Source organism: Homo sapiens, chromosome 9 (genome assembly GCF_000001405.40).
Source record: "Homo sapiens chromosome 9, GRCh38.p14 Primary Assembly".
Taxonomy (NCBI): domain Eukaryota; kingdom Metazoa; phylum Chordata; class Mammalia; order Primates; family Hominidae; genus Homo; species Homo sapiens.
In genome coordinates this window covers 14,299,861-14,324,922 of record NC_000009.12, presented here as the reverse complement: position 1 = coordinate 14,324,922, position 25,062 = coordinate 14,299,861, and the positions used below count along the sequence as shown (strand labels likewise).

The 25,062-nt window shown below is 42.1% G+C and overlaps 1 protein-coding gene and 1 long non-coding RNA gene across 32 annotated transcripts in view, besides 2 other annotated features; one reads left to right on the top strand and one right to left on the bottom strand.

Moving 5' to 3' along the window:
- NFIB-AS1 (NFIB antisense RNA 1) overlaps positions 1-7,836 on the bottom strand; it is a 41,478-nt gene extending 33,642 nt beyond the window's left edge. Inside the window, exon 1 of the long non-coding RNA NR_186536.1 lies at positions 7,578-7,836. This is a non-coding gene — a long non-coding RNA (NFIB antisense RNA 1). The remainder of the gene's footprint in view (positions 1-7,577) is intronic.
- NFIB (nuclear factor I B) overlaps positions 1-25,062 on the top strand; it is a 450,235-nt gene that overhangs the window by 207,155 nt on the left and 218,018 nt on the right. For 6 of the 31 annotated variants that reach the window (NM_001369477.1, NM_001369471.1, NM_001369464.1 and 3 more), the window contains exons 1-2: positions 10,782-11,441; positions 17,403-17,934. In NM_001369477.1, coding sequence (NP_001356406.1) covers positions 11,412-11,441; positions 17,403-17,934 — 562 coding nt within the window. In that variant the 5' untranslated portion in view covers positions 10,782-11,411. Of the gene's footprint in view, positions 1-2,535; positions 2,983-8,785; positions 8,830-9,968; positions 10,065-10,781; positions 11,442-16,887; positions 17,016-17,402; positions 17,935-18,077; positions 18,172-18,904; positions 19,171-24,658; positions 24,738-25,062 lie in introns of those variants that run through there. The other 25 variants (NM_001369473.1, NM_001369472.1, NM_001369466.1 and 22 more) reach the window with 13 other exon arrangements.
- Positions 2,020-2,679: a silencer, noted in NCBI's record as "silent region_19774". NCBI's record gives its function as "represses an Ori minimal core promoter by ATAC-STARR-seq in GM12878 lymphoblastoid cells {active_cell/tissue: GM12878}" and the evidence as "EXISTENCE:reporter gene assay evidence [ECO:0000049][PMID:35858748]".
- Positions 11,079-11,373: a silencer, noted in NCBI's record as "tiled region #4176; HepG2 Repressive non-DNase unmatched - State 1:Tss, and K562 Repressive DNase matched - State 4:PromP". NCBI's record gives its function as "represses a minimal TATA promoter and a strong SV40 promoter by Sharpr-MPRA in HepG2 and K562 cells {active_cell/tissue: HepG2 | K562}" and the evidence as "EXISTENCE:reporter gene assay evidence [ECO:0000049][PMID:27701403]".

The following is a 25,062-nucleotide window of genomic DNA, read 5'->3' as shown; positions in this document are numbered from 1 at the left end:
CAATTTCTCTAAGACATGCTTGAAAATCAGTCTCCCTATTTTATAAACCTTAGGTATCATCTAATGATAATATGTGTACATATTTGACCAACAGAAGAATGCTGGATATAGGAATAAGTATCATTATAAGCTTCACATGTCAAAAGAAACAGACATCCAAATAAAAAAAGATAATATATGAAAGCCTGAACATGACACACAATGGTACATTTTATGACTAAATAAAATGCTTAGATAGAAATTCTTTGACAGGTGATACAAACTCTGGATTCCTCCAAGTCATCATGAGAATGGAGGAAATACTTTTCTCTTTCTTTCCCTATTCCTTTTCCTATTTTGTGTCTCAAAATATTTCCTAAACAAATCTAGATTCTCTCTATAATGTCCTTTCTCCTTTGCATGTAATGACATTGGGAGGGATTGGTAATTCTGCTGCGGACTTCAAATAATAACAGAGAAGACTTTCTGTTGCACACTTACATAAAAGTTTTAGTATTTGATAACACTGCCCATGCAAGTGTTACTTACATGTTACTTATTTCTATATCCATCATTCTTCTGTTGGTCAAGTGTTATCCTCTCACTCTAAATAAATTTTTTATTTAGCTGCATAGAATCTTTATATTTTATATTTGTTTCCTTAGTACTAAATGTGATTTACTTGACCATGAAACTACTATTTGGAAATCCTAGAATGAAAACAGATCTGTTTGTTACCCACTTGAACTGAGTGGGGAGACTGAGTTATAGCTATACTCGCTAAGTGGTTACAATAACTTGGAGCAAGATAAACATTAAAAATTAATTTTCCTTGGGAAGTTATAGCTGAGTGTGGAGATAGCTACATGTGTGTATCCCCTCCCTCCCAGTCATTCATTCCCCTTCTCCAAGCTGTATATGCTAATTTTTTTGGAGGAGAAATTGGGAACTGTTAAACTTGCAGTTAGACAAATTATTTTAAAGTTGGGCATTTTCTAAAGTCTAATTGGGCCAATCCCACTTTTAGTTTTGCACTTATTATCACTGAAAATAGCTATGTATATTATTCACACACAGCCAAACGTATGTATGATGTGTATACAAGGGGAAAAAACTTTTTTTTGGTAATAAGGCCATGCCTTTTTTTAAAAAAAAATACTGCGTGTTGTAGGAGGTATGAACCCGAACAATGTCGTTTAAGTTCTCTAGGACTTTGAGGGTAAACATAATTGAGATTAAAATACTGACGTGCTCACATTTAGTAGAGAGATAAGAATAATTCATCGGGAGCTATTCTAGTCTCACTGGTAATCACATAATTCAACAGGGTTTTTAGAGAATACCTGAAGCTATCGTCGTCTGTTGTGCAATTACATAATTAGTCAGGATCTCTGTAATAAAATCTTTTCTAAATGTATGTGGGTTACTACTAAGTAAATGTTAGGGCTAGTGTTATATTTTTACTTTTAATACTTGTATAACAATTTAAACTGTTAAACATTATTTCCCGACATAACTACAGATACTTAACATGAAAAGAATTGCATTACTCAAAAACTAAGAAAAAAAAAATCCCCCTACATATATTTGTTTCCAAAATGCTGATCAAAACTGCTTGCTTTATGAACATTAACTCACTATCCAATCTCCTCTAGAGTGTTTACTTCTGGGAACTCCGGGGTTGTATTATCTCTTTGGTGTTGGTTGTTTCACCCACTTCTAAATTACTGATCTATTTTTTTGATATTCGCGTGACTACCTATCAATATAAGTCAAAGTGCGCTCTTTCTGGTCCTTTTGCTTTAATGATAACGCTGCGCAGCCAGGAACATTTCGGGAGTCCTCCTACACGGAAACAAACGTGGCCTGGCGAAGTTGAAGCCAGCAACGTGGCGGGAAGTGAGGAAGTAACAGCAATTCCTTATTCTTTATCATTATTGTTGTTTTAGAGTCTTTCCGCGGCGTTTTCGGCCGGGTTCCTGCTCCAGAAGGCCGGCGAGGGGCCCCTTGCCCGCGGCGCGCCGCAGACACACGGTCGGGAAGCACAAAGGCGCGCGGAGCCTGGGCAGCAGCCCCCGAGACGGTCACGCCCTCGCCGCTCTCCGGCCCCATGCGGCCGCACAAAGACCAGAGCCCCACCGCTACCCACGCACCCACCCACGCTCGAGAGGGGCGCCGCGCGGCGCAGGCCGCCACACCCACTCGGGCCCGCTCCCGCCTCCCGGGTCCCGGGCGCCCTGATGAATATGCATCGCGGCGCGCCCGCCCCCGGCTCCTCCTTTCGGTTTCCTTCCCGCCGCCAGGCGGAAGCGAAGAGCCGCGCTTCCCGCGCGCCCAGGCCGGCCGTGGTAGGGTGGGGCGGGGCGGGCCGCGAGCCGGAGAAAGAGAAAGCCAGGGAGGCGACTGCAGGAGGAGCGCGGGCCGGGCGCGGAAGGGTGCGCTGCTGGGTGGCGGTTCCGGGGCAGCCCCGCCGCGGGCCAGGCCAATCCGAGGGCGGGGAAGGGGCGATCGCGCGACCCCGGGGCCGTGCCGGCTGCATCTGACCGGCGCAGCCCCACTCCTGGAGCAGCCCCGCTAAAACAACAATAAAACCCACCACACACACACATACATGCACACACGCACACGCGGGCGCACACACACACACCATCCTGGACGGCGTTCAAGTCAAGCACGAGAAACAGCCTTCTGCAAGGGAGAGGAAAGAAAGCTGGAAATCCAGACAGACTGAAGGGCTGCCTGCTTTTAGACTTGACTTTGACCGCCTTTTCTTCTCGGGCCAAGAACTGTGGCAGTGCAGAAATTACAATTAAAAAATACATAAGACTACTCCCGGATTGCTTTTTTTTTTTTTTTTTTTTTTTTTTAACTAAACACAAAAAGCGACACCAAAACAACCCCTGAGAAAATCCACAAATCTGTACCTGAGACACGTCAAGTCAGCGGCCCAGGGTTCTGTTACAGACTCAAGATCTCTTTTATTTAATGCAATACAGTGCGATGGTATGTGGCTTTGAACTGATGGGTTTTGTTTGCTTCTTTTATTCGTTCTTTGCACCCCCTCCTATCCCTGGCACAGTTTTTCTTTTCCTGTTTGTGGATTGCAAAGTGGCTGTTTTACCCCTTTCCTAAATGTCATTTTTGTTTTACAGGTTGTGGGCTATAGTGCTGCATTTGCAGAACTAATTTGCAAATATGCATTATTATTTAGCGTTGGCAACTTTAGTACATGTGACACACTCTTATGACGGGAATCAGTGAGTAACATTGTGGTCCAAACGGTGCAGAATCTAGCATTTTGTTCTGCTTTAACTCTCTGCTTTATGCCCCTCTCCCCTCAGTGGTGGAAAAAAATTACTGTTCAAATGATACTTTAGTTCTACCTTGTAGGCCATTCTCTCCTCTTGAAGCATTCTTTTCTCCATTTTAATTCACAGATATTCTCATTTAAAAATACATTTTTAAGTGAAAGAAGTACTATTTAACTCTGATTGGTGTGTTGGAATGTTTAAAGTCAGTATTCATTCTAAAGTTTAGTCCTAACCCCCATCCCCTCATCCCTGAATTTGTGGCATCCTATTGTTAGCCTTTCTTCCGCACCCCCCACCAACTTTTTAAAACCGATTTTGATGGATTTCTTTCCACTCCTGTTAATAGTTTCCCCCCAACCCCGCTATTTTTGCTGCCGATTTTTTTCCTCTTCCTATGTGTGTCTCTATCTCTCGTTCTCCTTGTCTTCTTTTCCCCAATACGTCTGAGACACATTTTAATGCACAATATCCCATCCATTAAGTTGTGGTTGAATGTGAAGTGTGTGAGGACTTGGCAGCTTTCAGATTGAAGGGGGCGGGGAAGCCAGTTTCGACTTTGACACAAGATGCTGAAGTGGCGTGATCAGAATTATTATTAGGGCTGTGAACATGGCCATCTTCTGCTCGGGTTGGAAGAACTGCCACTGAACTTGAGACAGGACAGACAAGATCTCTAAGTATTTTTCCCCCACCCCCCAAGTACAGTAGCTGGCAGGGAAAAGGCGCCAAAATACACAAGATTAACTCTGACTTTCTTTGAACGGATCTTATAGCACCATCCTTGTAACTTTAACTTCCAATAGGCGGGAAAAAGTTAACTTTTGATCCCACACTTGAACAGACATTTAAATCAGCCCTAAAATGGAATAAGTCCAGAAAGTAACACACGCATGCTTATGTGGTTAGAAAAGAATGCACGTGTAAATAAGCAGGGTGTATGTGTGTATATGACTGAGGAGTTCAAGATTTAATCAAAATCAGAATTAGTGTGACTTTCCAGTGTATTTACAATATGAAGAAAAGCATTGTGAGGCAAAGAAACTGACCTTTAAGCATCCTAAGTAAAAACTGCAAAGAGTTTGTGAAACACAAAACGTTGTGGTTTCCAGTTTTACATTTGAGGTTTGATGTTTTCATTTAATGGTATGAGAGATGGAGAAAGCTCTAGCGCTGAAAAGTCCCTATTAAATCATATGTGGGCAAAGGTCAAGCACTCCAACTCACTGACGCAATATACTACAGATTCCTGCCTAAGTGATGAGGAACACAGGAAAAAGTACTTTGGCAATAAAATTATTAGAACAGTAATTATCATCGGTGGTTGGGACTGCATTCTTGTGCACTGGGAAAACGTTTTTACTGGCCCTGATGAATTTTAAAGCCAAGTATTGTTGAAAGCTATTTTAATAGGAAATTGATTAGCTGAGTGTTCCATACAAGAAATGGTGACGGTTTCATTGTTTGAGGTCCAAAATAAATTTTTATTCTTTAGCAGACATAGGCATCCCTTTAATTTTAATATGGTCAGACTGAACAGCAGCATAATTTTGAGTGAATGTGATGTCATGAACATCTGTAACTTTGTTTTTGGAGTTTTTGACATTACACAATTTGATAATATTACTGCTTTGAAATTTATTGGCTTGTGTAGTTAAAATTTCAGATACACTCAGAGATAAAGTTTACTGAACATATATTTTGTTTAGGCCCAATTGTTTGTGTTTTTTCTTTGTAATTACAAAATTGTTTCTTAAATTTTAATTTGAAAATTAAAATGCACAATTCTGTTGTTATGCATTGCTTTGACTTTGAAATTTTGTTGTTATGCATTGTTATGCAGTTTTCAAAGAAGAAATGAGAGAAAGGGGTGCAGAAAGTTTGAGTTGCTCTGCCATGCACTTTTTATACTTAATACAGAATGTAAAGACTACTTAGCCATTTTGGACAGAGCTTTCTATACCTGTCTTAAAAACCCATCTGTTTTCCTATGTTACAAGGCATGTGTATATGGGTAATAGAAGCCAGTTTACCTGTAGAAATAAAATGGTCATATAGTTTTACTTTATAGGTCAGCTATTTTGAAAAAGAGCAATAACTGCAACTCTCTCAATATCAGCAGACAAGAGACACTGTGTGAGAGAGTATATGGAACCTTTGTAACATTGTGGATAAGTGAGGCAACTATTACCTCTATTTTCAAAGTTTAAAATACATCATGCAAAAGTTACAGGGCAACTGCTGACTTTGTAATCTGTGAAGCAAGTGTCTTACAGTGTTGGGAATCTCTGTTGATGCACTGGCCTCATCTCTGTTGAGAAGTGAAAACCGGATAACCTTAGTGGAGGAATCTGGCTCAGTTGGTGTTGAGATCAGAACTGTATTATAACTTGTAAATATGCTAGAAATGTAGACACACTTAGTGGGATGCTTTTTTTTTTTTTTTAAACAGTGGAGTAGAGGCATTTCGGCAGTGACATTATTAACAGCGTCATTTTTCTCATTTACTTTTGTCCTCAGGGGACACCAAATAGCTCCCAGAGGAGGAGAAAAAGGTCCAAGGTTATTTATTCATTTCAGTGCAAAGGGCTAGCAATGGGGGTGGGGAAACTAACCAGTTGTGAATTCTCTGGTGGGGAAAAAATTACTACCCTAATTTGACAGTAGTACGTTAAGGGCTGGGTATGATTTTGTTTTTTGTTTAAGAGTAGTAGACAGTAGTAGTAGTACTCAGTAGTAGTTTAAGAGCTGGGTAATTTGATTACCTGAGCTGGTAAAATTGATTTTGCAATTCTCATCAAGTACAGGCACTTTCAATACTTCTTGATTGTTTATATATGCATTTATGAGTGGATTTTTGGTGTTCCTCCTTGTGGATATAAATTTGTGTTTTCCAGACTACACATGTATGATTTTTGTGGTTCATTTGGAAAAAGGAAAGATCCCAGGGCATGGTGCAGTAGATACTTGCAGTTTTGCAGGCCTGCTTTCTGGGGTCAGGAGGTCATCTGTCTCTTTTGCATTTAGTTTTTAAATATTGATATTGGTGATGCAGCCAGGGTGTGTAGAATAGTTGAACCTTCTTGCAAACCACATGCAAGAGCCAAAAAAAAAAAAAAAAAAAAAAAAAGGCATCGAGTGTATTGGAAATGACAGCTTTGTTAAGTTCCAAGAAATCTTTCATGAAACTGCCCAGGATTTGCAACCTGTCGCTGCAATTTCTTTAGGAAGGAAAAGGTTAAAAGAAAAACAATATTAGATACTTGAGATGTCAAGCTCCTCTCTGGAGATCCGTAGTGAAAGGCTCAAATGTGGTAGCGTTGCTTATTTCAAATATACAACTGGGTTTTGAAAAATCCAGTGAGCTGAAGCACTGGCATTCTATTTAGAAATCAATAAACTTTCTGTTAGTTAGAAAGGAAACTTTTTTTTTTCCCTTATAAGGCAGCAAGGAGATCTAGGGAGGAGATCTTTAAGAATACTGAAATAACAGAGTTTCCTGTTGCTGAGAGAATCATTCACTTCTTTCTGCCTCCTCAGCCAGGTTTTGGGGTGAATGAAAGTGGCCTGTCACACCAGTGCTTTTAACCCTCTCAGTGTGGGAGGGAGAGATGAAGAGTTTAGGATTGGTAAGTACCAAAGTTTAAGAAGTGTTTGGCCCATTTTGATACTATCAGAAGCTTTTCAGAGATATTTCCACTCTTAATACCACGACACAGACGTGCTAGAAAAAATGGAAAGTGAATACAATGCAGGCACTTTCTCAGTTCCTCCTTCTACCTGGGATTTAAAAGATTGAGATTTTCAAACCAAAGGTGGTGGACAAGTGTTGTGTTAAGAGAAGCCAGGCATCCCATGCACCGAAATCCACCAGTCCCTCTTTCCAAACAACTCCCTAGAGTTCTTCCAGGGAAGGCCTGCAATGACCTTGGCATTGGCTGGACAAGAAGAAGTGTTTTGGGGGGTGTCAGCCATTCTCCACATGGCTGCAAGGCCTGAGAAGACAGTCAAAGCCATAGAAACTGAGCACCCCCATAAACCTTCTTTTTCAGGAAGTCTCTGTTGCTCACTCTTCATTCCTTTTTGGTTTTCCTCGCCTCACCATACTCCTATCTCATTTTCCTTTTTCTGGGAAACAAATCAAAACCAAAAACTATCAAGCATCCTCTATGGTCATCAAAGTGCAACCAGCCATAAGCACCCTCAAACGTGGGGCAATTGAAAGAGATTTGAACCCCTAAGTGATGGGCCTGGGAGGCCCCAGACGTCTTCACTTCTCTGGGGTCTTACCTGGATCTGACGCTGCTTCTTCGCCCTTGGTGTTGCTGAAGCTTTTGTGGGCTCTTCTGTGTAATACTTGTCAATTTTTCGTTTTTCTTTTTTAAGCTTGTGAAAAACTTTTGGATGCAACCTAGTTTTGGTGGCAGAAGGAAATGGTTTCTGTTGGGAAAGGGAAACTAATAAAGGGAGGAGGGGTAGCGATGTCGGGAGACACTTGCCCAGGGCTCAGCCCTGGGCCTCTTTTTGCCAGGGGACAACGGCTGGTTCTGGGCTCTCAGGCTGAAAGGAGTGCTCTCTGGGTGCCAGGATTTCACTGGGGGTGGTGTGGTGAGGAGGGAGGGAAGAAGGGAGGGAGGGAGAGAAGGAGAGATGGGCGCTCGATTTTTAAAGAGACCCCGAAATAATGGCTTCTATGAGAGTCCAGGCATTCAAAGAGGTGTGTTCAAGGATATTAGTGCATTCCTGCCAAGGGGAATGTCTTTTATGGTAAATTAACTCCAGTTAAATTGAATATTTGTTCAAAGGGAAACTGCAGTAGTTAAAGCTGGTATTATCAGTAGAGCTTCCCCACCCCCTCCCCTCAGAATCTGGTGAGGGTGAGAAAGGGGATGCAGTGTAATGTGCAATACAAAGTGATGCTTTCGTGCTGGTGGTTTCTCTGTGTGTGTGTGTCTGTGTGTGTTTAATCTAAGATGAGGTTGCCTAAAATTTCTGAGAGAAATGAGTATTTACTTGGATTAACCCTGTCACCTCATTTCTTTCATCCATAAAGACTGCCAACTTTATCCCAGCTTTTCAAAAAGAAGAAATGACCCGCACAAAGGAAATTAACGTTGTCAGAACGCTGACTCCAGGATTTGCCGGGGCAGGGGCGGGGACCGCAGGGAGGCCGCTCCCAGGGCGTGTGGCCGAAAGGGTTAACTCGCAGGGGTCCGCGCGATCTCCCCGACTTTACCTGTCTTCCTAGTCCCAGCAGCCCCCGTCCCCGGCCTCCCGAACTCCCCACCCCCCAGCGCCTTTCTTCTTTGGGCTCTGGGTTTACGGGGGCTGCAGCTGGTAAACTTGGCAAGCTCGCCTCATTAAGAGCGCTCTTTGAAAACGGACTGTGTTTGAGCATTTCCCTAATGAGGACAGGACGGGGTTAAAAAGTGACCATTTCATGGTTGACTTGAACCTGCCTACTTTTCTTGATGTGTCGTTGTGAAATGCTTGATGTGGATAACTCCCACTTGGTGAAGGAAAAAGTCACTGGTTCCTCCAGGTCCGCTGGGGGAGGGAAGAGGGGACGGTGGACAGAAACCAGAGGGAGTGAGAGGGGCTAAAGTTGAGGGGACAGATCACGAGCTGGGAAGCGGTGGAAAGAGGACCGGGGAATCGGGGGCGAGCCTCGAAACGCCCCAGCAGTACCCGTGGAAGCGGGGCGGCCCCGCCCTGGGGATGGGCCCGCGAGGACCCGGTAGCCCCAGCGCCCCCCGGATCCCCCAGCTAGGTAGACTCGGAGCCCCAGGCGCTCACTTTTCCTCCCTCCATTGTCTGGGAGGCCTTTGCTTCCCCCTCGTCCCCATCCACCCCAAGCAGAAAACTGGATTTGGGGGGCGGTGTGTGTATGTGGGCGGGGGGTGCAGAAAGGGTGCAAGGCGAACCGCCTTCTTCAAAATCCCTGGAATCAAGTTCATTCACTCGGAGCCTGCACGGGCGACGGGGTGGGGGCGGGGCAGCGCCGCGGTGGGGAGCCGGCGCGGGCGCCGAGCGGCTCAGGGCCCGCAGCCTCTGGAGGGCTGCAGCGGCGCGCGCGCGCCCGCCGGCCCGCCCCGCAGCCCCGGGCGCGCCGCGGCCCCGCCCCGCCTGCACCCGGGCGGGTAGGGAGACGCTTTCCGCCGGCGCCCCGGGCCCCGGGGGGTGGGGATTGGGAGCCAGCCAGCGGGGCTGCAGGAGGAGGAGGAGGAGAGCGAAGCCGGGCGCGGGGAGGAGGTGGAGGGAGCAAGAGGCGGCGGCGGCGGCTCGGCCCGGTCCTCCCGCTCAGAGCGAGGCCACGTGCACGGGGCACCCCCGGGGAGGGCGGCAAACCGCGGCGAAGCGCCGCGCGCCGCGACTGCCTCGGGTGCGGGCCCCTGGTGGGCAGACCCGGGACGAACCCGCACCCCCTCCCTATCCGCGAACCCGGGCTCCGGGCGGGGCCGTCGGGGGCTGGGCGCCGCACCCCCCTGGTCCACGCCGGCGCGCCCCAACTACTTGAGCCCAAGTTCGCTCAGGTCCCCGCCTGCTCGGCCTCCCCCTTTTCCCGGCAGCCGCAGGCTCCGCGGACTGAGCCCGCCCCGGGTGCGAGTGTCCGCGCCCCAGCCCCGGCCTGGGGGCGGCCTGGGTGTGAGGGAATTTTCCACTCGTTCCTTTCTCGGGCTCAGACGGTTTCGGTGCTTCTCCCACTCGGATGTTCCCGCGGCTTAAAAGAGTCCGCAGCGAGCACCGAAATACCTCTTCCAGGGCGGGTTTTCGGGGGTGTGTATGTGTGTGCTGGTGTGGGGAGGGCAGCGGAAAGAAGAGCTATTTTGGAAAAAAAAAAAAAGTCATGGTTCTGTAGCACCGGTAGGATACCTTTAACAAATGAGGGAGAGGTGGGGGGAGAGAAGGAGAAGGAGGAGGAGGAGGAAGGTGGGGGGGCGGGGGGTGTGGAGAGGCTGGTGCAAAAGGAATGCGCGTTTGCAGGAGGAGGAGTAAAGCGATGATTGTGTAATTAAATAATAAAACAATCCTTAAGTCTGATTTGGAGAGAGCTCGAGCGGGGTCCAGAGGGTGGAACCGGTGAATTTTTCAACTTCCAAGTTTTGCAACGAAAGAAAGCAAGAGAGGGAGGGAAAAAAAAGAGCCTAGAGCAGAAAAGAGAGGAGTTTGGAGCCGAGCGGGAGAGCGGGATTTATCGTTTGGAATTTTTCAGGAGATCGTTTTGATACCCCTGGGCTCTGGGCAGCGGCGGCAACAGCAGCCTCCACGCTCGGCCGGGTCAGACGCGGGGCGAGGCGGGCGGGCGGGCGGCCGGGCGCCGAAGACCCGGCGCGGGCGGCGGCGGCTGCTGCTGCCGGGGACCACGCGCCGCGAGCCTCTTCCGCCCCAGAGATCAGCGCTCGCGCCCCCTCCCTCACCCCGGCCTCTCCCTTCTCCCCCATCCCACCCCGCCCCCACCCCGGCCCTCTCCCGCGCGCGCCCCGCCACCCGCGCGCACTCGCTCACGCTGCCCCTCGCGCACACACATGGTCGGCTCGCGGCAAAGTTTCGCCTGCGATCACCACTCCGGGATCCTGCCGCAGTGCTTGGGGCTGTAACCTTGAACTTTCCCAGCGCGGTGACACATTCTCCCCGCTCTCCCTCCCGCCCGCCCGCTCGCCCTCCTGCGCCCTCCCGCGCCCCCCTCCCCGCCTTTTTTGAAAAAGCATTTTACCACCAACCACCACCCCAATCCAACCCACACCGAACCTTCGCGCACCCCCTACACCCCAACAACAACAACAACTGCAAAATAGAAAACAAATCCCCAAACCCAGGCGAAAAGCAGCCAACACCGGCGGCGGCGGCGGCCTCGGCAAGCACGGCCAGCGCGCTCGGACTGCAAGAGGGTTAAAAGTGTAGATTGGATTTCACCCCTGGAAATCTAGCACGCCGAGTGAACTTGAATCTTTGGCTATTTAAGGAGGACTGGGTTTGTTGTGAAGTTGCGGTGATCCAGCGCAGAGCCCCGTCCTGATTGATCGCATCGCGGGGCTCAGATGACTGTAAAATGAATAGATGAAATTCTTGCTTCTCGAAGATTTTCTTGGGCATCTCCCGGAAAGTGCGTTTTAAGGCGAAGTCATGATGTATTCTCCCATCTGTCTCACTCAGGTACATGTCTCGGTCGCTTTCTCGAGCTTTCTCTCTGGCCCGAAATGCCTTTGTTTTGTTTTGTTGCGGACAATTAGCGGCTTGAGTTAACCTCCGCACATCCCCGTCCCTTGGAGAAGTGGCCCGGAGTTGCAGCGGGCGTCGCGGGGCGGCGTGGGAGCCGGGAGCGGCCCCTCGCCACGGCCACTGCGAGCGCCCAGCCCCGCGCCCTGGGCACGGAGCGCGGGCGCTGGGCCGGGCAAGGCCGCCGGGGGGTGGGCAGGGCCGGGACCTGTAAGTGCGAGGCCCCGTGCGGCCCCTCAAGTGCCCGTTGTGGTGCGGCATCCCCGCCCGGGGTGCCCGTAGCCCCTCTCAGCAGCTCGCGCGTTGAGGTGGACTCGGGCTTTGGAGGACTTTACGGGGGACTAAGCTTTTAAAAACAGCCAGTGAACTTGGGCGAGGGGACTGTAGCACGAGTCTGTGTGGGCGCCGCTGGACTGCGCTGCAGGCGGTGGGCGGGCGACGAATCGAGTCGGAGGTTGTGGTCCGGGGACCCATTCCTTTGCTTTATTTGGGGATCTGAAACCCTGGTCCATAGTGACCTGCTGCACTTTGGGGTTTCTAGTGACCGCACCACAAAGGCAGTATTTACGTTGACACGAGTTAGTTGGTCTTGGTGATTGTTAAGGAGTTTTTAGAACGTGTTCCTTTTGTGGAAACCTGTTCATTTGACGATATTTGGGCGTAGCTCGTAAGGCATTTTAAGTAATGCTGGTAGAAGTAAGGTCATTTTTTTCGACTTTGAGAATTGTCCTAAGACCTTAGGAATAATGTTATGAAATAAAACACTGGTTTTATACTTTTTAGAAACACGATTTGTATCACTTTAAGCCAGACGGTCAAATAGAAAAGCGGCGAGACCCAACAGACTTACCTGGGGGCAGTTTTCATCGCTGCCCAGGGAACTAACAACTGACAAAGTAACTAAAATATCTTAGCCCAGAACTGTTATTTGAGGCAGTATTTTAAACCTCTAAAGGTATGGGGCAGCTTATTTCAGCTTTTCGGAAGATGTGTCACCATTGGTAATTGATAACTATTTTCTTTGACATTGCCATGAAAACTAGTCATATAAAGAAGTGTCAGCCAGTCTTGGGCGTGTTAAAATTTTAAAAACATCTAATATCACGATGATGCATTTTTATAATGGACAAATAATTAAGATTTCAATTGTATGACAATTAGAAGCCATTGTGATTCAAAAGGACTGAGGCATTCATAAATTGTGAATGAAGATGAAAACAATGATAAGGCTTATTCAGTGATTGGATACAGTCCTGTAGCTTTTTGGCTGACACATTTTTTATTGTTTATATTTTGTTTGGCATCTGAGTATGATTAACTTAGATATGGCTATTTTCAGCAAGTAAACACGCACTTTAATTTAACAAAACTGGAAAAATGAGTTGCTGAGCTATTTGTATTTTAAAAGCCATGAATGATAATAGCCAATAAATATGATGAAACTGTTTCAGGTATAACGAATTGCCTTTACTTGTAAAAGTTACCATTAATATTACCCATCGGCTGGATATATTTTTCTCTTTCTGATAAGCTGTGTTAACTTGATATTATTTTTACACCGTGATCAAATAAAACAAATCAAAGCAAGATTTTCACTTACAGAGTATAGCATCACTTATTCTCACCTGTAAAAGATTGAATAATTGTGCATTTCTCTATATTTCTAACATCAGCTTTTCAGAAACATTGCTAGCAATTACATTGCATTTTTAGTATCCTCCAAATATGTATTGAAAAGTCACTAGTTTTATCTTAATTTGTGTAAGTTAAAGATAATATTGCAGCATTGAGACAGGGAATGTTGGGATCATATACAGCATAATCATTCAGCTATCACATTAGTATTCAGAGATACACACTTAACAACAATAACTTGTGATGACTAATATTCTCTACTATTTTAATAATATAAATCTAGGCTTATGTATTAAAACAAGGCCTACACCAGGGAAGGAATTTCAGCTTAAGAATTTTCACTTCACTAAGCTCCATGTGACTTTGCAGGTAATATAGGTGTTATAAAAGTGAGGCCACATTAATAGTGTCACTTTTGTATCAGATCAGTAGTTTTGTATCACAAGAGCCTAGTAGCTGTAGAAAAACATGTCTCAGGACATGTAAATTGCAAAATAGAGTATCATTCTTAATTGGTTATAAACTTTTAAAAGTATCTCAATTGTTGCAATAAGGTATCTAGGTTTTAGAAAAAAAATCTTAATTTAAAAGGACCTACCATTAAATGTTATGTTTAGCAAAATAGTATGCTACAAAATCAGCATATCAATAACCAATATTTATACACCAGTATAAATCAGATATAAAGGAAAAATTAAGAACTATCATATGATTTAATATATGTTTAAAAATAATGTAAACCATTAATAATATAACTTTCAATTGGCATGATGGCATTAAATATATTTTTCTTTCGTTGCTTTTAAGTTCTTTAGGTACATTTTTTGCATGATTTGTTGTTATATAGCAATGCGCCAAGAGCACCTAGTATTTACTCTTCTACCTCTATGTTGGTCTAAATTATCCATCCCTTTCATGGAAACGGAAGAAAAATAAATATGCCTAGTGGAATTAAGACTCTTTATTTTTATATCTGAAATTGGTAACTTTGTTATTTACTTTGTCAATTTAGTTCAACTAAAGGAAGTTTTAAAAGAGAATTACTGAACATCAATGCATTTTACTAAAAATTCTGAAAGAGCAAAGTTGCCTATTACCTTTGTATACAGTTGTTTGGTTTTAAATCACTTATATGTTTTGCTTTTTTTAAAGAATTTATGATTGCTTAATGCTATTGTAATAATCCACTACTAGTTAGGATATTTGAAAACCTTAATCACCTTTTAAAAAAATATTTTTGTATCAGGACAGTTATTATGTTCCATATTCATGTCACTCATAATCTTTAAGACTCTAGTGTTACTCAGCATTAGGAAACAGTCACACTTGGGAGATGACATTTAGGCATGTTAATACAGAAATATATGCGACTTACAGCAAACCTCAATTTACAGTCATTTTTGGAGGATATGTCCCCTTGTCAAATAAGTGCTTCACTTGAATTCACATAATAGTGAAACCCTGAACGATATCAATAAGGCAAACTGGCAGCCTGAGAAAGTTTGCTACTTTTATTTCTCAAAAAAAAGAGCATGTTTTAAAACAATATTGGCAGCATTGACAGCAAAGTCAAAGGAACGTTTAAAAACTGTGTGCATTTGCTAAGAATTTTCAAATTCAACCTTCAAATTTGAATTTTGGTTGTTTAAAATAACTCATTAAAATTTTGAGCTTTCTTGTGTGATAGATTATATTTATAATCAAATATTGAAACTCAAATTTAATCAAAACTGTGTTTGATGTCTTTATAAGAAAATGAAATGTCACTGAACATAGTACTTAAGGTGTAAGTACTTACGTGTTACCACATGGCTTAATATTTATAAAATAATATTGCATTTTAAAAAGCATGGCAAGGGTAAAATGAGTGAGACAGAGCCCACCCACTCCACCTCATGTGCTCTTTACATTCTCAAGGTTTTAGTTTTGTGAGTGCATATATGTGTGTTTTTTAGTCATATCAATAAATCGTAGTAAAAGATTATAGGAAGTGAGTTTCCAAAGCACATTTAAGTCCACATTTCCTTGAGCAGGCTTTCCTTTTGCATATATTCCTAAAGGGGATAAACAAAGTTTTTGTAGTTACAGTGAAAGCTAAAAGCATGGCATCAGAAAGTGTATGGAGATAGGGAGGTCTTATCATGGGATGTGGTTGCTGTGAGCAGGGCTGCCTTCCCACACAAAGAACAGATTGTGGTTTAACTCTTTCCATGGCCTAGTTTAATGTGCTCGCATAGTAACTGAATTGTTCAAATCTCTGCTGGAAACTACTGATCGGTTTAATGATTTCCTCTATGGCATTTGGGTATGCCTCATGCTGTGATGTAATCATCAGCATTCTGTATTGTTATAAAATTTTGATTCATACTTATTCTGGTGAAGGAACACTTACAGCAATGTTAGAACACTTGATAACTACATTATTGATTGGATGGGACATGTACTCCTTCCATATCTGAAGTGCAAACAGCTAACATGTTGCAGTCTGTAGCATTAAAACTTCGAATTTCTTCTTCAAAATGTATTCATATCTATATTGGATTTTTGACACCTTCTTTGTTAAAGAGTCATTAGTTGTACTTTCATCATATTTACCTAATGGAATTAATTAGTCAGTCTGCTGTTAAATAGAATTTATTCCACGTAGTTCAGGGTGATTAACATGAGTATGTAAATTCTAACTTGGGATACAATCAGAGAGTTATTTTGTCGTTGGGCTGACAGTATAGTCAATATGATCAGAAAAGTGGTGGTGGTGGAAGTTCTCATTTGCTTCAAATCTTGGCTTATTGCGTACATGCGGTGTGCATGTACAGGACGTTAAGCTCTTTCTCTTTGAACAGTAATAGGCCTAAGCTTATAAGACAGGTTTTACCTAAATCAGGAAGTAACGAAACTGACTGCACTGGGAAGTAACTTGAAATATCTGTAGGTAAAGATTATCCACCATTCCTCACTGATCCCCTCCCTTAAAAAAAGGGCTTGGATGAAACAGGCAGGAAAAATGCAGGAGCCTAAAGGTAAACTACTTAATTCAAAAGATTGGTACTCTATAATCTATGTATCTGCAAATTCACATGCACATGCATATATGCACCCACAGTTCTAACTGATAATTCATCTACATGGCAAATGAATTGTATAGATTCCACAAAAGCAGTAACTGACCAGCAGTGTCACCCCACCACAGCATGCAGAGACACAAAGAATGTAAAGTTGGTGCCAAGTTGCCATTTTTCATTGTTCACCTCAGATTGATTTTTAAGAGGTTTAGAATAATTGCTATACTCATGTGATCGGTGAACAAATTAACGGACTCTGTGGGGCTGCATATTCTATAGGGAAGCTGATGGAAGAACATTCATGTAATTTTTGTTTTCCAGTTTGAAAACTTCTATTTAAAAATGCAAGAGTGTGTGTGAGAAAGCAGGAGAGTGCAAGTGTGTGTGTGTGTGTGTTGGGAGCTGGCGTTGGTAGTGTGGGGAGAGAATGCACTGCTCAAAGTATGGAAACCTTCTGTTCAGGACACTGATACGACGAGCTGTGTCCTTTGCCCACTTTCCCTCACTGTATACCGGTTTCTCTAGTTACCACTTTTGGAATGGTGCTGTTTCAGTGTTGGAATGTTGGACGTTTGATAAGAAAATGGATCAAGTTTAATGGCGCATGCTCTTTGTGCCACCAGCAGCCTCTTGCTGAGAGCATGCTCCAAAAGCGGGAACTGTGTGGCATTACACTGAGCATCTATATGCTTTGTGTTTCTGTGCCACAGAGAAGAGAAATGAACTGTGGCATCGCTCCTGCCTTCTGAACAGCTCTACTCCGATTAAAAAAAAAAAATCTCACTGTGTTCTTTGTAAAATGGTACTGCATAGTGTTAGTTGGTCAATCAAATATTGAAATACTATATTAGGTGCCAAGCACCTTAGTTAGTTGCCTATATTTTAAAGAATGTAGAATGCATGGCATTGGGGTGGAAACAAGGGGGATGGGGCCAGAGTGTAATACAAAATATAAACCTTATTTCCTTTATAGGAGGGAGAATTGACCTGTGAATTTTGGTGGAAAGGGGACAGCTGGGCATACTTTACTTTCTTCTTGTCCTGTTATTTTGATAATTTTAAATAAGAAAGGAATGTTATTTTCATGTATAACTTTTTGTACTGAATTGGAAACGGGTTGTGGTCTTCTTTTCTTATTTTTTGAGCTTTTAAAATTAAACTGACTATGCACATCTTTTCCTCACCCCTCTGTCTTCCACAGGATGAATTTCACCCATTCATCGAGGCACTTCTTCCACATGTCCGTGCAATTGCCTATACTTGGTTCAACCTGCAGGCTCGAAAACGCAAGTACTTTAAAAAGCATGAGAAGCGAATGTCAAAGGATGAAGAAAGAGCAGTCAAAGATGAGCTTCTCAGTGAAAAGCCTGAAATCAAACAGAAGTGGGCATCCAGGCTCCTTGCCAAACTGCGCAAAGATATTCGCCAGGAGTATCGAGAGGACTTTGTGCTCACCGTGACTGGCAAGAAGCACCCGTGCTGTGTCTTATCCAATCCCGACCAGAAGGGTAAGATTAGGAGAATCGACTGCCTGCGACAGGCAGACAAAGTCTGGCGTCTGGATCTAGTCATGGTGATCCTGTTCAAAGGCATCCCCTTGGAAAGTACCGATGGAGAGCGGCTCATGAAATCCCCACATTGCACAAACCCAGCACTTTGTGTCCAGCCACATCATATCACAGTATCAGTTAAGGAGCTTGATTTGTTTTTGGCATACTACGTGCAGGAGCAAGGTAGGAGCAGATTGTTCTTTTTTCTAGCACGGCAAACACCGCCTACAAATCTCCGTAGACAGAGTATCTGGCTTGAGTTAGATGGTCCTCAAGGCCCCTAGATATCCTCCACCCTCTCTGGGTATAGTAGGGTGTCCGCTTTCACTCACATGTCCGCTGCCATGTGCGAGCCATGTAAATAGACACAGAGCTTTCGTACCTGGATAGGCTTGGATATTTAAGAAAGACCACAAAGAGGTGCGTTTTCAAGTATCTTTAAAATAATACTGTTTTTCAAAGACATAGGGTAGTCTAACAAATATAGTTCATTACACTATACTTTCTGTCGTAGGCTACATTTTTGCATCTAATCTAGTAATCTTTTCCTGATTTGAAAATATAACTTTATTTATGAATAGCCAAACCATCCTAGATAATTTTTGTATTAACCTTATTAATTAATGAGGTAGAGGGACTTTGTTTATGAACTTAGTGGTATCGCACTGAAAATAGAACTAATGTTTACTATTACAAAATGCTTAAGATAGATAATATCAAAAGTATATCTTACGTAGACCTAGATTTACTTAATTTTAATATTTCTATCATCACTTTTGATTGTGCAATATTCACTGTCGATTAAATGGAATTGAGTTATTATTTAAATTATTTATAGTATGTTCCCAGAGTTACTTGGGAACACTTAATAATGTTAGTTTACTTGTATGTAAATTCATAAAACTTACCGAGGAGGAAAGTCGCAGCGCTGCTTACAGAACAAAAAACAGAAAGTGGACTGGTTACACTGGTTTAAGATAAATCTTAAAAAGAATACAGAAACTGCATACCATACCTATTATTTAAAATACCTGAGAAGGAGAATGGTATACATTTTACCTAAATAATTAAAAAAGATGATGTTATTACTGAATATTTGAGTTAATGAAATGTTTATTATTTTTATTTTTCTTAATATATTTTCCTTAAGTAGGTAAGAATTTCTTTTCTTCAAATAAATGCATCAAGATATAGATGTCCTTGCATTACCAACAATCCATAGTAAAACAATCATTTTACAAAGCCGCATACCAAAAGTAGACTGAAGTTTGAGCTGTCACAGATGGTAGGTCATTTCCAAACTTGGCCTGGTGGGAGGAAAAATGGCCTGCAGATAGCCAGGTGACAGACTGTTACCTGAGGTTTGTTATATAAATGTGGGACTTAATAAACTGCTATGAGCTTTATTATTCAAAAAAATCAAAATTACTTTTTTGACTCTGAATTCTAGGCCCTCACTATGTGCTTTTTGTCTTGATTTTCTTGTAGCTTTGGAGATAGGCTTAAGTGTCATTTTAGAATTTTTAGTCTGATTTTAAATAATGGTGTTGGACATTGCACTTTTAGAAATATTACCTTTTCCTGAAAAAATGAAACATTGCATTTAATATTTCCATGCATTTAAGAATTACAGTCCAAATAATGATGGTTTGGGGAAAATAATATTTTTGTCCCATGTGTCCTAAAATAAAACTCAGTAACACATGACACTTATTTGATTGACAGATGTCTAGGAGGTGACACTTTAAGGTGGGCTGTATATATGTGTTGGATTGACTATAAATGTGTTGTAACTGTGTTGTGAAAGTCAAGGATGGAAGTAAAGTTTCAAAAAGTGGGTCATGTAACTTTTTAGTGCAGGGAGGGAAGATTTGCAACCACTTCACTACTGCTCACATTTTAAGTTGCTTGAAGGCTAGGTTTTGAGGTGTGCCTGCCTGCATGCACATTTACTCCTGGGGAAGGCAGCCAGCTCTCTTAGTTTTGATGAACTGACAATAAAGATTTGTAGAGATAGATTGAAAAAAGAAAAAAAACGCATAAATGCCTTCCATGTTGCACCACTGGTCATGATAACTATAAAGTTTTAAGCAACTCTTAAGAGACCATGGTTTTAGATAAAACATTGATTTTGTTGTTGGTTCAACAATCTCTATTGTAAGAACTTTTCATTATTTTATCTTGTGTATATAACTTGTATCCTCTGCTACCTGCCAGTGCATCATCTTCTCTTAACATCTGTTGGTTCTTCCTTTGAAAAACTCACGTCAGGATGCTTTTGTGTTTTCCCCTTTTCAAAATTTATATATTCTTCTTTGTCAAGTGTAGGTTAATTATGTCATTTTATAGTGCAATTGATTAAAGAAGGCAGATTTTAAAAGATAATTCTCCGGTCAGTTAGAGGGCTGCATATCGCGAGTGATGACTTTTTATTTGTCTTCTAAGTACATGATAACTCACCTAAGTCTGTTTTATAAATCAGGAAAAGAAGTATAAAGGAAAACACGAAAGAAAAATCAGAAAAGAGAAATGTAATGTTTGCAGCAGAAAGAGCAACAAAATTACGTTTCCCCCTTTTTCTCTCTCCCCACTTCTAAATGACTGGGAGAAAAACATGAGAAAGAACAGAGAGAATGCCAAAGATGGTTGCCACTGGCACCAGGATTGGCATCAGACCCTCTTTGTTTAGCTCAGGATGCCTGTGATTTGTTAGTTGGCATCCGCATTGCAGTGTGGAGTGATGTTACAATATATTGACAATTTCCAGATCTAGAAATGTCAATAGTCCTCTTGGTTATTTATACAAGATCACACACTGCATCTCTTCTGGAAGACGAAATAAAGACCAACATGTACTAAAGTTTCATTGTTGACCAACTTCCTATGCTTTTCTTTTTTCCCTCTTTCTCTTTTGGTTCAACCCACACTTTTTTTCCTTCTTCATGCCCAGCAGCCTCATCTTTCTGAAATGTGGGAAGAGTTACCAGAGCTTTGACACAAGCTATAGTGCTACATCTGCATCTGATATGGTTTGGGAAAAAATTTATGCTTTTTGAAATCATTTTTGATATATAGTTCATTAGACTTTTGCATCACGTGGCCATGAGGCAGTATTTTATTTAAAGCTAAATCTCTTTGTTATTCGGCTACTATGCATGTAGTCTGGTTGACCGCAATTCAGTCCATTTTGCTATTTCCTTATATTAGCAAAGGCTGATGTTCAATATAGTTGTTTATAAAATTAAATGTCTCCCTGCACTTCACCTAAAATGTACACATCATTTGGGAGTAACTGCGTTTAAATCCATAAAGTCATTTGATGTTATTGATTCAGAGGGCTGCGCTTCGGCTGTTTCGTTGCTACAAGAACCGCCATTTTGTTTGTGAAGTGCCAGGCGAGGGGGAAAAAAAAGGCAGACACTGTGTTTGATGCCAATAATGGTTGCCAGTGGCACCGAGGTTGGCATCAGACCCTCTTTGTCTAGTTGCTGAATGCCTTTGATTCGTTGGTTGGCATCCGCATTGCAGTGGGCACACTGGAAAGTTTTTGACAATCCCTGAATGAAAGCTGCTTGCTTGTTTGCTGCAGCAAATCTTAGCTAATATAAAACTCTTCCTTTTTTTAGGTTTTGTCTAAAAAAACTGGGACAGATTAAAGAAAAAATAGCTCTAAATGGTATCTATTTTCCCAAAGATATTAAAGACGTCCAATGATTCTTGGGCAGGTGTTACCTATTCCCCATATTGCCTTTGTTACTGCATTCATGAAAGCAAAGCAAAAACAAAACCAAACAAAAACCAGGCAAGCCTTGCACAGCACAGCTTCCTGGGATGTAAGTGTCCTATAGGATGCAGGGTGTGCTATGACAAGTGTGTGGAGGACAAACCTAACGTAATGATATGTGATGCATTCATTATGACTGACTGTTGCTCTCAGTCACATCACTGCTTATTTGCTATGCAATTTCTAGTTCCCTCACTTGCCACTCTTGCAAATTTTATAGTAACATTTTGAGAGGACTTCAGTTTTCCTCTCTAGTTAGAAATGTGTAACAGAATACATGTTTAAAAAGAGAGAGAGAAAACTTTAAAGAGGAGACCTATGCGTTAAGGTCTGAGGTAAAATCAGTCATTCTGGAATTTCTCGATTCTGCACCACACTGTTACGAAATTCTCAGTGCACAATTTTGTACACTGGGAAAATCAACCAAAAGCCTAAAATAATTTTGGTTAAAGTTTCCTAGATAGTTAGCGTTAATATTGCTTTTCAGTTAACCACCGTTATCTCGTTAATTAATAAGAAGGATTAGCAGTTCTACCCAAAGGGCTGCACAGAAGGAAGTCTGGCCTATGGGAGGCCTTGAGTTGCCAGACTGTGTCCTGTCTGAAGGGGAAAAAAGGAAGGGGGTGGTGGTGGTGGTGGGAGTCGGGGGGCGGGAGTGGGATTGGCCTTTCTCTGAGGCAGGAAAGCGTTTTGAAGAGAGAGGTCACAACACACCAAGACATTTAAAGATCTCAAGAGATAGCAACTGTTGTCGTGTATGTAACAGATTAGAGTTTAAAATGAGTCACCCTAACTGATTTTTGGACTGTACTTTGCACTCTTATTAAACATGTTTTGGAGTGTTAAAGAGAGCCCAGAAACCTCATTGCTATCCTGAAAAAGTAGTTTCCTTTAGCCTTGTTGAACCCTTAAAATTATGATCTCTTGTTGGGTGGCCACTTTTGTTGCTTTATTGTTAAATGTTATAATAATTGAAGTACATTTTGAAGTTGTGAAAAATGTGACTTATTTACAGGGGAAGTCATAATCATTATTACTGTTTTTGAAATAGAAGCCTTCCTGGTTGTCACATATCATTAGTGAGGAAGCAAATGCTAAGAATTATTTTCTTCCTACAGTTACTGAATTTCAGAATCCTTTTGGGTAACAATTATTTCTTTATGAAAAGCTTAAGTAGATAATTGTTTGCAAGTTGGCAGTGTATTTTAACATTTTAATAGATTTCACTTCATCTGCAGGTATTTCCCATTATGGGAAAAAATAAGCTTTCATAATTGATTAAAATGAGGCTGCTCTCTAGGATGATTTGGTGTGTCTGCACTGTGAAATGCTCTGGGAACATAAGAGTTTGTGTGTAGGAGAAATACTTGGTATGCATGTTTGATTTAGGGGAGCACTGTTAAGTTTTCCCATCTAGCAACTTGTCCTTGACTGAACTTGTGAACTCTAGTGCACATTTGTTTGCATTCTGGCTCATACACAATTCACAAGATAAAGAAGGGCTCTTATTGGCATGTCTTGCTCCTAGGCTTAATGAGACCTTTGTGGGAACATATATTGTGAGATAAGATACTTAGCAATTTTCTCACTGATAAGAAAACACAGTCTCCCACCAGAAGTTCACCCTCTATGCCATGAGGTCTCTGCCACAAGATAGCTTTAACAGACAATTTAAGAGTTAAACTCTGAGGCCCCAGTTGCCAGCTGGGGAAGCTTGGCATCTGTGTTCCGATATGGCAAACTAAGCTCTTGCATTGCAGTTAATATGATCTCATTTTTCAAAGGGAAGGGTGGGGGGAGAGAAGGAGAGAGGGAGGGAGGGATGGGACGCTTATTTGTTACATCAATTATGATTTTCAAATATTTAAAAATATATAGTGCCCCACTTTCTGGAGGCAGCAAAGGTTGGTAAAATATTCTACTGACAGCATTAGGCATCCTTCCCCCCACCCTGTATATACAGCACTACAAATTTTGTAATGAAAAATAGTTAGATTATGTATTTGGATTTACAGATTTAGTGCACAATGTCTCTTGTGTGGTAAAATAATTCCAAATATCTCCATATTTGTAAGAACCAAAATAATATGCATTGTTCGAGAATCGTGGTAATTGGAGAGGACTGTGCATTGCAGTGACAGGAGTGACGGTCAGGTCTCCTGAAGAATGCCTTCCTGATAGGCACAGTTATAGTGCCTGTGCCTGGAGACTTAAAGCTGGGTAGGAGCCATTGAGAGAGGCCATCTATTGCTACAGCTTTAGTTCTTTAAAGTTACTGTTTTCTAAGGTGGTACCTAAGAAGCACTTCCAAACATGAAGATTCGTAATAGATTTGGTAGGATTTTTCATTTACTTACTTGTTTTTCCCTAAATTTGGAATTTAGGAAGAAGCTGTCATAAGGAAGTTAAAGTTGTAATCCTCCATTAACTTTTTGCTTTTGAATTTGGCACTTAAAATTTGAAACAGCAATCCAAGATACCCAATATAGCAAGGTCTTTCTCCTCATAAGCTCTCACTCAGCCAGATTAAACTGAAAAACTAGACTGGTAGGCTATATAAAACCGTTTGCTTTCTGACACTAGCGCTCTTGCCATCACTGCTGGCCAGTTAGAATTTCAGCACCTGAAGAGAGAGGGACCCAACGGAAGGTTATGTCAGAATTCACAGGATTTCTTAAAAATTGAGATAAGTTAGTTTTCATTTCTGTTATCATGGTGGCTTACATGATAATGGACTTATAATCAAAGAAGTAGTTATTGCTTTGTTTGAAGCTCCAAGTTTGCAAAGAGTGCAAAGAGCACATGAAACACTCATTAAAATGGTCAATTATTAAATACCTGAAAATTATGGGCAAAGGCGATCCCTGGCTCTGAAACTAGCTTCTGGGTAAATGTTTCTCTTTGGTTTATGAAAGAATAGCATTTTCCAGTTTGAAGTTGATGAAAGTAGAACTTGCGGCACTTAAGGGGTTTTCCTATGTATGTGCTATGGCGGAGCAAATGATTAGCCAACATAATGTTCAAAGCAAATTTTCCAGCCTTTTTCCCTCCATCCTTGTGAAGGAGGAATAATTTTAGAAATCTCAAGGACTAGTGGTTATGCGATCGGAAACTTGAGTTATTACGGCTGCATGCCCCAGTGCCAAGCATAGCAAGAAGAGACGCTTCCTTCTGATCATGCTCACTTTTCTGTGGCAACGTGGTATGTTGTCTCATTTTAAAGTAAATTCTTGGGACCTTGAACTCCAGTTTTGTGATGCGGTTAATTTAACTGAATTTAGTTGTTAGAATTTGGCATAGAGAATAAATCATCAAACTGCAGAGAACTTGTGAAAACTAAGTGCGTTGTAGTAAGGAGTGAGTCTGTGGGATTAGCTTGTATTAGATTGAACGTTAGAGTGAGACTAATAGGACTTGAATGGTTGGGCTTTTTGGTTGTTATATTATTCAGAAAATTGGAAGAAATGGCTAACAAGTGAGGTGGAAAGTCCTTGAGGCTGAATTGAAAGCCACACATTTTTAAAAAA